Source organism: Homo sapiens, chromosome 10, assembly GCF_000001405.40.
Source record: "Homo sapiens chromosome 10, GRCh38.p14 Primary Assembly".
Taxonomy (NCBI): domain Eukaryota; kingdom Metazoa; phylum Chordata; class Mammalia; order Primates; family Hominidae; genus Homo; species Homo sapiens.
The window spans coordinates 127904738-127920459 of record NC_000010.11 but is presented as its reverse complement, the minus strand read 5'-3'; the positions used below and the strand labels follow the sequence as shown (position 1 = coordinate 127920459).

The following is a 15722-nucleotide window of genomic DNA, read 5'->3' as shown; positions in this document are numbered from 1 at the left end:
TTTGAAGAAGCAGGGCAGGGTGCTTGGCCACATGAGCTGTCACACGCCCACCAGCAATCTGGGAACTGGTACCCTGGCTGGGGTCAGGGAGCAAAGTGGACCCTCAGCCAGACCCAAAGCAGAGGCAGCAAGAGACCCCTCATGCTCCAAGGGGCTGCCCCTTCCCAGTGGGACTCAAGGTGCTCTTCTCACGGAGGCTTTCCAGCCTTCACAAATGCCTTGTGTCATTTGTTACTAGAGGCTGAGCTCAGGGTAACCAGCTATCAATTGCTTCCCAGGCTCCACGCACTTTCTTACCATTAGCTAAGCCCATTGCATTCAAACAGTTGAGTAACTCCCACCCAACATCATTCTAGCCACAAACTCGCAGCAGTTACCCTGAGAGAGCATGGCCACACTTCCTGCCTGCTAGGGCTAAAAATGGACACAGCACGCCGAGCCTGGCTGCTCCAATTTCCAAGATGCCAAGCCACTAAAGAAAGCATAACCTCCATAAAGCATTTACAAATTACTACTACACTGAAAAGGAAAAAAAAAAAATCCACTGCTAAGTAAAATAACCACGATTGATGTCACTGATTTCTACCCAGCACTGCCCATTCATTCAGGATGTGTATTTTGACATAACCAATAATAAATCATTTGTAAACAAAAGCATGCTGCACATAAGATGTTTCCACACGCTACTGCCTTCTCAAGCATCTCCTGGAAGTAATTTGCCAGGCGGAAACCACACCCAGAGGACTAGGGCCAAGCAGACAAAAGATGGATGCACAGTAATGAAGTCATAGCTTCTCACCTTCAGATCCTGCTAAAGGTTGGAGTGCACTTCTGTCTAAACAGATGAATAACCCGGGCTTTCTTCTTATGGATGCAGATGAGGGACCTCCATTTCCTGAGGCCCAGCACCATAAGCCGTGTTGCAGGCACAGGAAGGAGGGATAAGGGGTCAGTCCACTAGAGGCAGCACAGAACAGAACAGGAAGAAGGCAGCCCACGGGTGGCAGGAGCAGGCAGCGTGCCCCTGGGCAAGTCTCCCTTTCCTCATCTGCAGCTGGCCTCCAGCTCTGGCTCTAAATAAGGAGATGGAATTGTTCGCCAAACTTCTCAAATTGTTAACATCTAAAGCGCAAGGGTAGAATTTAACTTTGGTTTTTGGTGAACTGAAAGACTTGGACAAAAATTATGTTTCTAGTTATATTCAAACCTATGAGAAAGGTTATTGAGAAAATCACCAGAAATGAGTGAAATTTTCATTTTTATTTGAAGACAATGCATTGAAGGGCTGGTCCTTCAGTGTGCAATGAAGTCCATTTCCTGGGCACACCAATGGAGCCAAATCTGCCTCAGTCCTAGGCACTGCCCAGCACAGAATGGTACCTGGGTAAGGTCTGATGTGTAAAATAAAGGTACAAAATGAATTTTTGCATCTTCAAGATACACCTACAACTCCTATAATAGACTTGTCCATAAATGCACCCTGGGTTTCCAAGAACCATGACTTTGAGATGTGTTCCAGCCCAAGGAGGCCCCAGTTAAACTTCCCTCTTCCCTGAAGGGAAGATAACTCTTGCACTTCCCAGTCAGGCCAGTTCTTTGCAATTTTGCAAAAAGACTCCTTCATACTCCTTGAGAAATACACATCCACGCTCAACAGCCGTGGCTCTTCCTCGCGGGCAGGCCCTGCCTTTGCTCTTGCTGTCATTGTGTGTCTGTCCTCCGACTCTGCCAAAGTGACAACTGCCAGGATGCTGACTGGGCAGGGGTTGCCCAACAGCCATGAAGCCAGCCCTGGGACTTGGTTTGCATGAACAGCCAAGATTCTTTCAGCCTTTTCCCCAAGCTCCTTCAATAATTTTCATTTCTTCCATATAGATTTTCTCTCTTTTTTTTTTTTTTTTGAGATGGAGTCTCGCTCTGTCGCCCAGGCTGGAGTGCAGTGGCGTGATCTCGGCTCACTGCAAGCTCCGCCTCCCGGGTTCATGCCATTCTCCTGCCTCAGCTTCCTGAGTAGCTGGGACTACAGGCGCCCACCACCATGCTGGGCTATTTTTTGTGTGTTTTTAGTAGAGATGGGGTTTCACCGTGTTAGCCAGGATGGTCTTGATCTCCTGACCTCCTGATCTGGCCACCTCGGCCTCCAAAAGTGATGGTATTACAGGCGTGAGCCACTGCACCAGGCCGATTTTCTCCTTTTTTAAAGGAAGTTTAAAGGGGGTGCTCCAAGCCAGCCTGAGGTCTTTAGATAAGAGTCATGGGAGCCAGAGAGAGAGCAGGGTGACTCCTGTTTGTCCCCATCAGAGGCTGAGGGTCACCTCATGGAGCTTCTCGAGATCATTCTCACCTACTTTGTAAGTGGGAGCAGGAGACATCACCCCCTGTGAGCCGACTTCTCTGATGACAACAACCATCATTATATGGCTTTTTTTTTGAGATGGTGTCTCACTCTGTCACCCAGGCTGAGTGCAGTGGTGTGATCTCAGCTCACTGCAACCTCTGTGTCATGGGTTCAAGCGATTCTCCTGTCTCAGCCTCCCAAGTAGCTGGGATTACAGGTGCGTGCCAGCGTGCTCAGCTAATTTTTGTATTTTTAGTAGAGATGGGGTTTCACTATGTTGGCCCGGCTAGTTGTGAACTCCTGACCTCATGTGATCCACCTACCTTGGCCTCACAAAATGCTGGGATTACAGGTGTGAGCCACCGTGCCCAGCCTACATGGCATTTTATTAGGAATATTGTCTAGACCCTAAGAATGTACAGTGTAACCCAATTTTCAAAATAAAAAAAATTTTTTTGAGACAGGTTCTCGCTCTGTCACCAAGGCTGGAGTACAGTGGCATGATCATGGCAGCCTCGACCTCCTGGGCTCAAGTGATCCTCCTGCCTTAGCCCCCGGAGCAACTGGGACTACAGGCATGCACCATCATGCCTGGCTAATATTTTTTAGAGACAGTATCACTATGTCGCCCAGACTGGTCTCAAACTCCTAGCCTCAAGCAATCCTCCAACCTCAGCTTCCCAAAGTGTTGGGATTACAGGCATGAGCCACTGCACCTGGCCCTGTAAGCCAAATTTAACAGAAAGATGACAGTTTAGCGCAGTGAAGCACAAACATTGGCACCATCAGTTTCATGCTGAAAAACTCTCTTCGCTTCCCTTTGGACAGACCCTCCCTGCTGGAATCAGCTGCTTGGATTCCACATGTTGGAGCGGCTTCCCCCTCTGGCACCCTCAAACTCAGCTCACACCCTGGGCGCACCATCATCTCGTAAGCCTGTGTCTGGTCCGGATGCATCCAGTCACCCTGGCCGAAAACTGCGGGGCCTTGGTTCTCACTCTCATCCTCTCACCCACATGGTCATGTTGCCTATAAATCCAACCTGCTGAGTCGGTTTCCCCCGTCACCTCCATTCTGGCTTTCCACACACAGCCAGCAGGGGACCCCTTCTCAAACTCACAGCTGAGCATGCTGCTGGGCTCTGTGGGGCTGGCCAGGCCGCACAAAGGGGACACACCTGGAACCTGTGAGCCTCAGGATGGGGGGAGGGGTGTTAGGAAAGACTTGCTGAAACTATACAAATGACTGTGTGCACACATGCGTTTTTCTGGAGAATGAGTCCATAGTCTTCCCTAGAATCACAAAGGGGGTCATAATTTAAGACACGGTAAGAACTGCTGGTCCGTCACACAGAATCCAGACTCCTGGATGGTGTACAAATGTTTGGGTGATCCTTAAACTTTCCACCTTTTTGTCCCATCCCCTCTGTCCCTGGGCTCCAGCTCCATGCAGACACCTGCTCTTCCCCAGACAGGACACACCGCTTCCTACTGCCAGGCAAGCACATGGTAGCCCCTCTGTCTGGAATGCTCAATCCCTGTCAGCTGCCTAGGAAATGGCCCAGTAAACCAAGCCTGCTTGTATTAGTCTGTTTTCATACTGCTATAAAGAACTGCCTAAGACTGGGTAATTTATAAAGGAAAGAGGTTTAATTGACTCACAGTTCAGCATGGCTGGGGAGGCCTCAGGAAACTGACAATCATGGTGGAAGGGGAAGCAAGGCACCTTCTTCACAAGGCGACAGGAAGGAGAAGTGCACAGTGAAGTGCACAGTGAAGTGAAGGGGGAAGAGCCCCTTATAAAACCATCAGATCTCATGAGAACTCACTCACTATCATGAGAACAGCATGGGGGAAACCACCCTCATGATCTAATCACCTCCTACAAGGTCCCTCCCCCAACATGTGGGGATTACTATTTGGATTACAATTCAAGATGAGATTTGGGTGGGGACACAGAGCCAGACCACGTCACTGCTCTACCTGGGGAGGCCCTTCCATGTCTCCCCTCCTCCACAGGAGCATCCAGCATCACATTTAACACTCCCTGGAAGTGAGTTCTGTCTTCCTGTGGACCTGGAGCATCCACAGGATGTCACAAGCCATCGTGCCTTTTTTTTTTTTTTTCCCTGTAACTCCAGCGCTAAGCACAGTGCTTGTACGTACGGATGCTCCTGGGCTTACAGTGAGGTCATATCCTGATGAACCCCTTGTAAATAGAATATATCATAAGTTTAAAATGTACCCAATGCCCAATAAACCCATTGTAAGGTTGAGAAACTATAATAAAACCATCATAAGTTATAGATCCTCTATATACTGTAGGTAGTCAATAAAGGTTTAATACTTCCATTTGTTCCTTCTAAATGATATTACAGACTCTTAAACACTATTTACATTTGATGAAAACCAAAAAATATCCTTTGAAAGAATGTTGTTGGCTAGCTAAGAATAGGCCTGGCTTGGCACAACACAGTACAAAATTATTAAATTTCTGGCTCTTGCATTTTTATATTACTTTGGGTCCAAATCTGGACTTTGCGCAAAAGAATTTAAATGGACAGACTGATAACATCTCCAGTAGATGACTGAACTTTAGCTGATGTTTGCAACCTTGGCAAAAAGTAATTTATTGAATTACTGAAGCACTGAACGAAGGGCTGCTATGAGCTTAGGAAAAGAGAGCGCTTAGTCAACAGCAGTTCAAAATTAAGGACGAGGTTACTGGTTCAGAGTACTTTTTTGACCAGTACTTAAATGTCCAACTGTTTATGAAACTAAGGTTGCTTTCAGAAAGAGGAAAACCATACTGGAAAAAAAGTGTTAATCACAATGAAAAATTTTACTAGTAACAATGTAAGTTTTGGGATGATTTGAAATAATGTGGCTGGAAACAGAAGTTTCTTTTTTTGATAAGTAGACTTCCTAGTGCAACTAGGATTGTACAGGAGTTTTATTTTTACATATTTAAGATGCTAAAATGTGTTATTCTCTTTGGAAGAGCATTTACATGCTTTCTATTCATTAAAGTAAGTACCGGAAGGCAACGTTTTGTTGGCCTGGATTGAGTTACTATAAATCCTCGAATTTAATAAAAATCCACAATATTCAGGCTTTTTATTAATTCATACTGATTTCCTCCCCAGGAATTTTAAGAGAGCTTCTGCTTCAGAGATTCAGAGTGTTTGGGTCTGAATATTAGCTCCACGCCCTGACATGAGGATATGCCACCCCTGTGCTCTCTGAAATTGTCCTGGGTCAATCCTTGGTCCTTATCTCGTGCCCAGCAAGCAGGGCTCACATTCCAGGTTGAAAGGGAACTTCCAGGTCTCCTCGGTTGACAAGATTGGAAGATAAAAGCTCACCATCTGAGAAGTGCTTTCTCTCCTACGTCTAGAACAGTGGGAAAGCGCCCTGAAGAGAGGAAGGATTTGGAAAGAAACACCGACATCTGTAGGAAATATTCTGTGCTGAAAACCAACCTGTTAGTTGAATTCACTAGCAGGTCTCTCTGGAATCAAGAAAACAAGCTGGAGAATTCCATAGGGAGGATTTACTTTGTCTTCCCCAGAGGAGGCTGGAGGCCTTCCCACCTCCAAAGATCCATCCCATGTTACCTCAGTAACAACCTAGCCTTTTTCTGAAAGTGTGTTTTATAACAAGTGGATGGGGTTAGAAGAGTTAAGAGTAGAGCCTATCCTGGGAAGTATGATAGTGTCAGAAAAACAGGCCACCGGTGTCCGCAAAGCCTGTATTTCCACCTGTGCTGTGTGTGTCAGTCTGTTCTTGCATTGCAATAAAGGAATACCTGACGCTGGGTAATTTATAAGGAAATGAGGTTTAATTGGCTGATGGTTCTGCAGGCTGTGCACAAAGCATAATGCTGGCACCTGCTTCAGGTGAGGCTCAGGAAGCTTCCAATCAAGGCAGAGGGAGGGAGCCAGCATGCCACACAGTGAGAGTGGGAACAAGAGAGAGAGTGGGTGGGGGGTGCCACATTCTTTAAAATGACCAGATATCATGTGAACTAGCTGAGCAAGAACTCACTCATCACTAAAGGGATGGCGCTAGTAATCATGAGGTACCTGCCCCCATGATCCAATACCTCCTACCAGGCCCTACCTCCAACGCTGGGGACCACATTTCAACATGAGATTTGGAGGGGACACACAGCCAAACCATATACTGTGTTTCCAACAACAGAATAAAAAGCTTTACCCCATGACAAGGATTTCAGACCAAAAGGCTGGTGGATGAGGTGGGGGCAGGGTAAAGAGGAGAGTCCCAGGGTCGGACATCAAATTGTGGAAGTAGGTGTCCACCTCTGAGGCCAGCCTCTTAATAAACTGGAGAAGAAAGGAAGGCTGGAGCTCCCTAGAGTTTCACCGGGAACCTGCCTGGACAGGAGCTTCCATTTCGTCTGGGCTGTGCTTGGTGGGTGCGTTCCCGACCCTCAGAGCGCCCTTGTGCATGTTAGCCGAGGAGTCAGGGCCAAGCCTGTGGACAGCAAACCAGTCTGCACCGCAGACCTATGAAAGTCCTACTGTGGAGACACAGCCTGAAAAATGCCAATGCCAAGTCCTTCTGGAGTGAGAGGACGCCAAAATAAAAGGACTTAGTACAGAGGTCATTTAAAATAATACACTGTAATCAAGTAGCTATGTGATAGGACATTTAAAAATCTCAGTTGAGAAGAAAGATGGAACTAATTTTCTCTCTAGTACAAAACTGGTGACTAATGTTCAGCTGGAAATGTCCAAACAGATTTAGGGACATTAATAACCAAAAATTATGTTTGTGCATTTATTGAATAGGAATTAAATGACTTGCCTTGAGGACAAAGCGACTGTGGCAGAGGAGAAGTCAGGGCTCACATCATCTCAGGCCTTTGATTCCGGTCCCCTGGGCCCTTGCCTTGTGTGAGACCGCTGGCCCTTTGGTGATCATGGGGCCAGGCCTCTGCGTACCACCTCCACCGATCCCCGTGCAGCTGCCTTGGCGGCATCATGCTCCCCACCGTAAAGACTTGGGCTCACACTGGGCCAGGGGAAGTCCCTTGCCTTGTCCAGAGCCTCAGTCTCATGGGCCCCCATCTGATCCCAGTCATTCTGCTCCTAAGTCCTTTCCCTGAGCCCCAGGCTGTGTCACCTCCCTTGAAAATAAAGCCCCGTGGCTTCCACTTGCTGCTGGTATTCAGACAGAGTAAAATCATGGCAGGGAAGGCCTCCGCCACTTGGCCTCCTCCACTGCTACCTGGACAGGCTCCTACTCAGTTCTATTACCTTCATCCATCCATCTCTCCATGTCACATACATGCACAGAGTGAGCTCTGAGCTCCAGGCATTGTGGGACTGGCTGTCCATCCCTGGGAGCTGACGACAGAGTCATGTACCTGCCCAGGGCGCTCACACCAAATGCTATTGTTCCCATGCTAGCCCTTCCATTGGATCAAATGTAGTGTAGCTGGCACCCAGACCTGGGATCCAAACAAGTTTTCCTATCAATTCTTTACTCTCCACCCAACAAACACTAACATCAAAGCACCTGCCCAAAACACGTTTGGTTTTTAGCACATAACTAAGAATCTTTTTTTTTTCTTCAAACATTTCCCTACTCCCTGCTGGACTTTATATTTGTTTTTGGGAGAAAGATTTCTCTGCCCCTTTTGTTACTTGTTACAATATACATAATGGACCGGATTAACTGAACATTCTTGATTGCATTTGAAAGATATTTTTAAAAACAGATGCCCTTTTAAAATATTTTATCTGGCCCCTATTTCATTGGGAATCAATATAAAAGGATATGTTTATTTTTCTGAAATATATTGTTAAGAATTTGTATTTCTTAAGCTCAATCAAAGCCTCTGAAGTATTCATACAGTTGAAAGAAAGATGTGGGGCCCACATTTCTGGCTGTGAGCAGGGTGTTGTTAACAGTTCAAAGGCTGGGCACCACATCAATACTCCCCACATGGAACACCTGGACAGGGCAGACCATGATGGGTATGACTGGGAAAACAGCAGCCAGAGCCCAGGGAAGAAAAGGAGGCTGCCTTCATAATCCCCAAACCAGGGGTCTCCTAGCCCACATCCAGCAGCGAACGACCCCGCAACTGCTCATCTGTGTCTGCTCAAGGATTGGTAACATTCGACCAACTCTTATTGCCTCAGGTATGGCTGATCTAAAATCCCAGCCATCTAAAATATCATCCAGCACTCTGCTTTTGGTGAAAAAAAAAAATCCTAGTGACAAAATAATGAGAAGTTAATCCTCCAAAATAAACTCTTGATATGTCTAGGGCCAGTACCTAAAATTGGCAGCACGCTACATGTACCCACGGGCCTCTCCTCACTCTCTCTAGATTTGGTGTCCAGAGCAGAGAGACACGTGGCCCAAATGCTGAGCCAAGAAACAGGAGGCCTCCCTGCCTGGGATCCAGCCTTGTACGGAGTCAGCAGCCCTTCCTGCCCAGTGGTGGGGAAGGGGTGAAATCGGGCGGAAGTGCAGCAGCTGTGAGGGGCCCAGAGATGGCCCAGGACAGCCCCTTTCTTTGGATAAGCAAAGTGAAGTTCTGAGAGTTTCTAGGGTAGGCCACAGCTTCCTAGCTTTATGTTCTGGTCTAGAAGCTGCTCTCTTACCCTGATTCCAGACACCTGATTCTAGGCCACACTGCTTCTCAGGGGTGGGTTTCGTTTGCTTTTGCAGTGCCTCACACCCAGCCTGGTTTAATTCAGGCCACGAGCCTGGTTAATGTGCACAGCAAGTTGCATTTCTGCCTCATCGATCACTGGAGTCAATGGTGCATATTGAAGAATGAATGCCTTCATGGTAAGTGATAACATTATGGGATTAAAATACTTAATCACGCAAAATTTACATAATAATCATTTAGATTGCCATGCAAAAATTATCTGGCATGCCACACCACACTGATTTGACCTACTGATCTGGATGATGCACAAAAGGTATCTATCTATTTGTATGGTTTTTGGCTTGGTTCATGTATTCATTCAAACTTCATTGATTCTTTTTTTTTCCATGACAGGGTCTTTCTCTGTCAACCAGGCTGGAGTGCAGTTGTGTGAACATGGCTCACTGCAGCCCTGACCTCCCAGGCTCAGATGTTTCTCTCACCTCAGCCTCCTGAGTAGCTGGGACTACAGGTGTGCACCACCATGCCCATCTAATTTTTTTGTGTTTTTGGTACAGAGTTCCATCATGTTGCCTATGCCGGTCTGGAATTCCTGGCCTCAAGTGATCTGCGTGCTTCAGCCTCCCAAAGTGCTGGGATTACAGGTGTGAACCATTGCACCCGGCCTCAAACTTCACTGATTCTTACATGTGCAATGCACAGCATTAGATGTTGTAGGGGAAAGATAACCACAGTTTACTGCATACCAGCCAAGCGGCCTGTCAATTATATGTATCCTATGTCCCCCTCACAGCAGCAGCCCTGGGAAGTAGCGATGATTACTCCCATTCTAGAGAACACTGAAGCCTGCATTTTGAGTCATTTAGCCAAGGTCACACCAGAGTCAGAACTTGACTGACTGAACCCAAAGTACATGCTCTCAGAGACACACCCTCCACCCTTAAAGCACTGGCTGCCTAGTGGAGGAGATAAACTACTTGAGCAAGTGAACTGGAAATCAAAGTCAAGTCCAGTAAGTGCTTTAGGACAGGCAGAAATAACGTTCTATGGAACCAAGAGTAAGAGAGATTCCTCTCAGGTAGGGGAGCCAGGAAGGCTTTGTGGAGACTGAGACTTTTGAGGTGGGCCTTGAGGTATGGGTAGGAGTTTCTAAGATGGAAATAAAGGGGAAGGAGGCTGAGAGCAGGGAGCTGAGTCTTGGGATCTGGAAAGCTTTGGGAGCTTTATGGAAGACAAAGCCATTGGGTCAGTAGGAAGAAAGCCAAAAGAAAAACTAGAGATGTTCTTAGAACTGTAGTTTTCTTCCCAAGTGATATTCAAATATTAAGAAGGCCAGTCTTTACCCTAATGGATACATTCATTCCTGCTTTGGCAACAGAACTTCTGTGAGGGTGACTCAAATGTTATAAATGAAAAAGACTTGTCTAGCAAGGGAATACGGGGCAGCTTCGATCCTGTTCCCTCCCTGCTCCCAAGCCTGCCTCCCTGGGAGGTCACTTGGGGTGTCTCTGGTCCAAGCCAGCAGTCATTTTAGCAGGTGAGTCCAGCATCTCCAGAAGGGCTGGCCACATGAGCCCTGGATGGACCATGCCCATCCACATCGGCAAAAATGTGTGGCTGCCTATCAACCATACAACATCCACGCAACAGACACACACTTGCTCCATCAGCACATGCGCTTCGGGAAGGTCTCACTTCCAAGTTGTTTATCCATGGACAGTAGTCCTCAAGGCTCCACTGGTAGGCACATGGCTGGGCACTGGAGATACAGTATTGCCCTCTCTTCACAGAAACTATAGTCTGGCATACATTTCAGAAGCAACATGGAGGCTGGTGGAATTGGATGGATAAAGACAACACTGGGAAAGTACTGGAAGGGGAGGGGAGATCACAAGTTTGATTTTGACGCATTGAGTCAAGGGGCATTTGATATCCCAGGGAGAAATGTCAAGTGGGCAGCTGCGGAGGAGAACTACAGAGGAGTGGCCGGGCCTAGAAACACACCTCTGGCCTTCAGGGAGGGAATATTGATCAGCGGTGCACCTTAGACTAGGCTAATGGTGGTGCAGATGGAGCACAGTGGACCCACTGAGGCACAGCTGGGAGAAGCATACTTTCACCAGTTGAAACTGATGCATCTACCATCACCCCCACTGTGAATGCATCTTCTCTTGGGGTTTGGGGGCAAGATTTGCACACACAGCCACCTCTCTTCTCAGGGGCAAGGATGTACACACACAGCCGCATCTACTCTCAGGGGCAATGGTTTGCACACACGCATCCCTGGAGAAGAGGGGGCTCCCATCAGGGCACAGTGCTTCAGGACCTCCTCCAGGCTTCCGTGGAGGTGGCGGTGCTGACACAGGGAGCGCATCTCTCTCTGCCAGCTGTCCCCCACAGAAATGAGAGGTGGCCTCTGTGTGACTTTCCGCATTGTCCTCACTTTGTGTCCACACAGGGCCTCCAAGAAGCATCACACGTAAAGACAATAACACCCTCATCGACTTCCCTCAACTGGTTTGACTGGAACTGATGAGGGAGTGTGTGACTAAGTCCCAAGCCATCTGGACACATCCAGTGACCTGACCTTTTACAGAGACAAATCTAGCTCCTAGCTCTTGTCCACATGGGAACGGTCTGTTGGGGCAGGGAGGGGGCGGTGGTGACTCACAGGCATCACCAACATCAATGAACAAAAATCTTGGCCCCCAAGGTCAGATTCAGGGGCAGAGCCTTGTCTGGGAAGGGCTGGGTGGTACGTCAGGCCTCTCTCACTGACAGCGCAGCCCCCACCTCTTGGGCCTGCTCCACCTCGCCTCTGACCTTTTGCTCCCCAAATGCCAAGAGCCTGTGCTTGGAAAGTACAGACCCTAACCCTGTTCACACCACAGAGCTCTGCCCATACCATGCTGGCTGAGTGACCGTGGTGGTCAGACGCTTGCCCCAGCCACTGGCCCCCACCATTTCATGCCCTCCTCTGGCCATTATCCCAGTTTTGGAAACGACCCTCCACACCCCCCCTCCCCACCCACATACACACAGTTTAAATGGACAAGAGTCGTTAGTGTGCAGAGGCAGAACTTCATCCATCTTTGGGACACAAAGACCTCCAGACGCCCTGGGTCAAGGGGTACCTGGGGCCAAATGCAGAGCTGACTGGACATGGACACAGTAATTTCTGTATCACGTGATCACTCTTTGCTGGTGTTCATTCAACTCACCTATACGCTCATTCACTCTAAAATACAAGCAGAGAGCTGTATTCTTTCTTTGAGTTTCCTGGATTGAAACTCTGATGGAATGGTCACGACTCAAGACAAACCAATATCATAATTCTGCAAGTATAATTGCCTAATCTTTCTGGAAAGGTTTGCATGCCTGGAAGGAATTTAGGTCAGGTCCAGCGCGGTCTCCATCCGGCTTGGCTCTGCCTCCCCATCCTGTGGGTTGCCCGGCCTTCCCCAGATGGTCCCGGGAGCTCTCAGAATTGGCACCGCGCTCGCATCTGTGCTCAGGAGCCCTGTGAGGTCGTCGACCCTGCAAATCGCGGCAGTCCAGCCTGGACCACCTGCCAGGGTCTCCCTGCCGCATCTCCGACCCCCGGCGGCTGCTGCATCCCGCTCCACCTGCCTCCCTGGGAAGGCGCGGGCGCCCGCCCGGCTGCGGGGCAGCATCCTGGCAGAGCGCCGGCCCCTCCCAGAGTTGGCACAACTCGAGCCACTTTCTTCAAAGGCTCCAGCCTCCAGCCTCGAGTGGGCGCAGCCCCCCACGCGCGGCCTGCACCCCCTCTCTGTGTCGCCCGCTTTCACGTACGCCGCCCTGCCGCCGGCCCCCGCGCACTGTAGCCACCCGCAGACACGCGCGCCCTCCTCCTGTTTACCGAGAGGGAGCGTGAGCACTGCCACTGTGGTCGCCAAGTTGGGCTGGGGACTCCGGGTGAGGGGACGCGCCACAGGCCGGGGTCGGGGGTCGTACGGGCCCCAGCCGCTGGTACTGGGCGCGCCGCGGGGGCGGCGGGGCCGGGGTCCGGACTCTGAGCCCCGGAGCGGCCCCTCCCTCCCGCGGCAGCGGCCGAGGCAGCGCCCCGGCCTGCTTGGGCCTCCCGGGGTGCACAGTTCCCCACAGGGGCGCAGGGTCCCTGTCCGCACGCGCGCTCACCTCGGGGGGGCCGGTCTGGTCGCGCAGATCGCGCTGCAGCGGAGGCTCCGCATCTCCCGGGCGCCTGCCCGCCGCCCTCCGGGGCGCCCGGCTGTCTTCGCCGGGCGCGAAGAAGGGTCGCGGGGACGCGCAGAGGCCGTGGGTTCCTGAAGCCGCTCGCGCCGGCTCCTGCCGCCCGCTGTCCGCAGCCTAGCAGGAAATTTGTCCGGCCGGCCGCGTCCCGCCGCCGCCTCGGCTCCAGCTCCGGCTGTGGCTCCGCGGCGGGGGCGGGGGCCTGGGCGCTGCGAGGAGCGGGGGCGACGCCTGGTGCCCGGCGCGGGGAGCGCATCCAGGGCGCCCGCCCCACCTGCGAGGCGGGTATGGCCCTGAGGCCCTGCGGCCCTGCCCTGGGAGCACCCAGACACTGTGGGCATCCGTTTACTCAAGGCTGGTGCCCCTTCCGGGGAGGCCTGGTCCAGCCACTCCGCCGGGACCCAGGTGCGTAGACAGAGGGTCAGGGTATGGCAGGCACTCACACCTGGTGGAGAGCAAAGGCAAGGCCCTGCCTCTCCCTGCCCTATCCCTGTGCACCAGGAAGTGGCCTGACTAGGGACTCGCCCTGGTCTTGCAGCAGGTGTGGGACACGCAGGGCACCCCGTGCGCTTCTGGTGCGAGGAAGCTGGGAGAGCTGTGAGGTCGCTGGGCCTGGTGGCCTCCTCTGGAAAGAGGAGGGGATAAGGCGCCTGTCTGGGGGATGTAGAAGAGGGCTCGCTTGTCCCGAAGGCAGTATCTGTCAAAGTTAAAAACGCACAAAGAGAAAGAAGAGCGACAGAGCCAGGCACTGGGCCTGCTGTCTAGCCGACTTCTTCCAGGGAATTTCACTCAAGCTATTTAGGGAGCTTTCAGAGAAAAGGCAGTTCCCTGGAAGGAGCAGAAAAGACACTGGTGGCATGTTGGTTCTGAACCTTTGTGCCGTGCCCTCTGGATGGGGCCACGGCCCAGCCCTCATGAGGGAAGCTGCATTCTGTGGTAGGGACCCAGCTCATTAGGCTTATGAATGAATGAATGGATGGGGAGAAAGTGGCACTTACGGTGTGTTACCCCACGTTGCACCGATTGCCAGCCGACGACTCTTAGCATACTTAAGGCCTGTTTAGACAGAGCTACGGACCCCAAAGGCTGCAGAGCAATGGGTGCCTCCTGGCAGAGGCCACCCCCACGTGATTTGCCCAGAGTGGGACTTCCCCTCCACAGGGGCCGGAGAGCTGCGAAACCAGTGGAGAACTTGAGCTCCACCTCCCTGCCCTGCCCTGCCCATTTCTGTCCCTGGGGGCCTTGTCTAGCCCCAAAGCTTTAAACACCATCCGTATGGGAATGACTCTAAGCAGCACCACTCTGGGGCCCTCTCCTCCAAGCTCAGCTCCTCCTGGCTGTCTCCTGCTGTCTCAGACCTGCCTCTTGCTCTTACTTAGTTTCTCTGCAGTCGTCCCTGTCCCTGCCTCCGTGTCCCACCTCAAGTCCACCTCCCAGAGGGCCCAAGTCCACTTCCCACTGGCTTCTCCATGCATCTTGCCCTTTCATCTCACTGCCTGCGCCCCTCCAAAACCTGCAGTGGCTCCCCAGCTTCTGACCCACTCTCCCAGATGATCCATTCTTCACACTTGGTCCCAGGCACCTCACAAAGTGTAAACCGGGTCCTGCTAGCCCCCTGCTTAAAAGCCTCCAGGAATATTAAAACCCAAACTCCCACGAGGCTCTGCCTGACTTCCCTGGCTGCTCTGAGCCTCTCACCCCTGCCCGCTGGGCTCCAATCACGGCTCCTTTCTCTCAGTGCCAGAGCCAAGCTCCTTCCTGCCTGGGACTCCTCCAACCAGTGCACCTGGTTCCTTCTTACTGGTGGCTTCTGGAAGATCGCCCTGCATCCATCTCTTCTGCCACTCTCTTCCACATCCTCCATCACAGTTTGGAATTATTTGTGGGTTTATTGGCTCCTTTTGTGTCTGTCGTGCCCTCTTCCCCTACCCCCAGGGCTGTAAGCTCCAGCAGCCTAGGCTCTGTTGATCTCCATGGCTTCTCAGACTCAAGCTCCTAAAGCAACGTCAGTAGCCAGGAGGTGCTCAGTGAAGGCGTCTGGGCTGTCAGAGCAGAGGAGGATGGGCCCCAGCCAGCAGCAGCAGACAGCCTGGTCACCTCGGAGCCCAGCAGGGCGGGTGGCTCCCTCCTGAGTGCACCTCCAAGGAACAGCCCAGGTTGAGGTGGGGCCAGGTAGCACATGACGTCACCAGGCTTTGGATTTTTCTGCTGTTGTGGTCTACAGAGTCAGGCTTATGTACATGAAGGCCATAATTACAAAGCTCTGCTAAGCACAGTTTTGCTTGTTAACGCTGCAGGGCTGAGGAGGCAGAGACTGTGAGCTAAGAAGACAGAAACAACTTGCCTTTGTCAGACATCTGCTATTGGAAAGTGAACAGCCTTGGTAACATGATGGGGAGGCAGATGGCTCTTCTTTCCTCATAATATCTTCTCTGCTGGACCCCAAAAATTCTCAACCCTTTCTAAAGTCTACAGACATTCATCATTGTCACACAGAAGC

The 15722-nt window shown here is 51.0% G+C and overlaps 1 protein-coding gene across 11 annotated transcripts in view, besides 1 other annotated feature; it reads right to left on the bottom strand.

Annotated features, from left to right (window-relative positions):
- Nucleotides 1-13357, bottom strand: part of PTPRE (protein tyrosine phosphatase receptor type E) — a 178753-nt gene extending 165396 nt beyond the window's left edge. For all 11 annotated transcript variants that reach the window (NM_001316676.2, NM_006504.6, XM_047425578.1 and 8 more), the window contains exon 1: nucleotides 13151-13357. Coding sequence is in view for 8 of the 11 variants with exons in the window: in NM_001323355.2 (NP_001310284.1) it covers nucleotides 13151-13203 (53 nt within the window). In the remaining 3 variants the exon portion in view is untranslated. The remainder of the gene's footprint in view (nucleotides 1-13150) is intronic.
- Nucleotides 13394-13513: a silencer, noted in NCBI's record as "silent region_2931". NCBI's record gives its function as "represses an Ori minimal core promoter by ATAC-STARR-seq in GM12878 lymphoblastoid cells {active_cell/tissue: GM12878}" and the evidence as "EXISTENCE:reporter gene assay evidence [ECO:0000049][PMID:35858748]".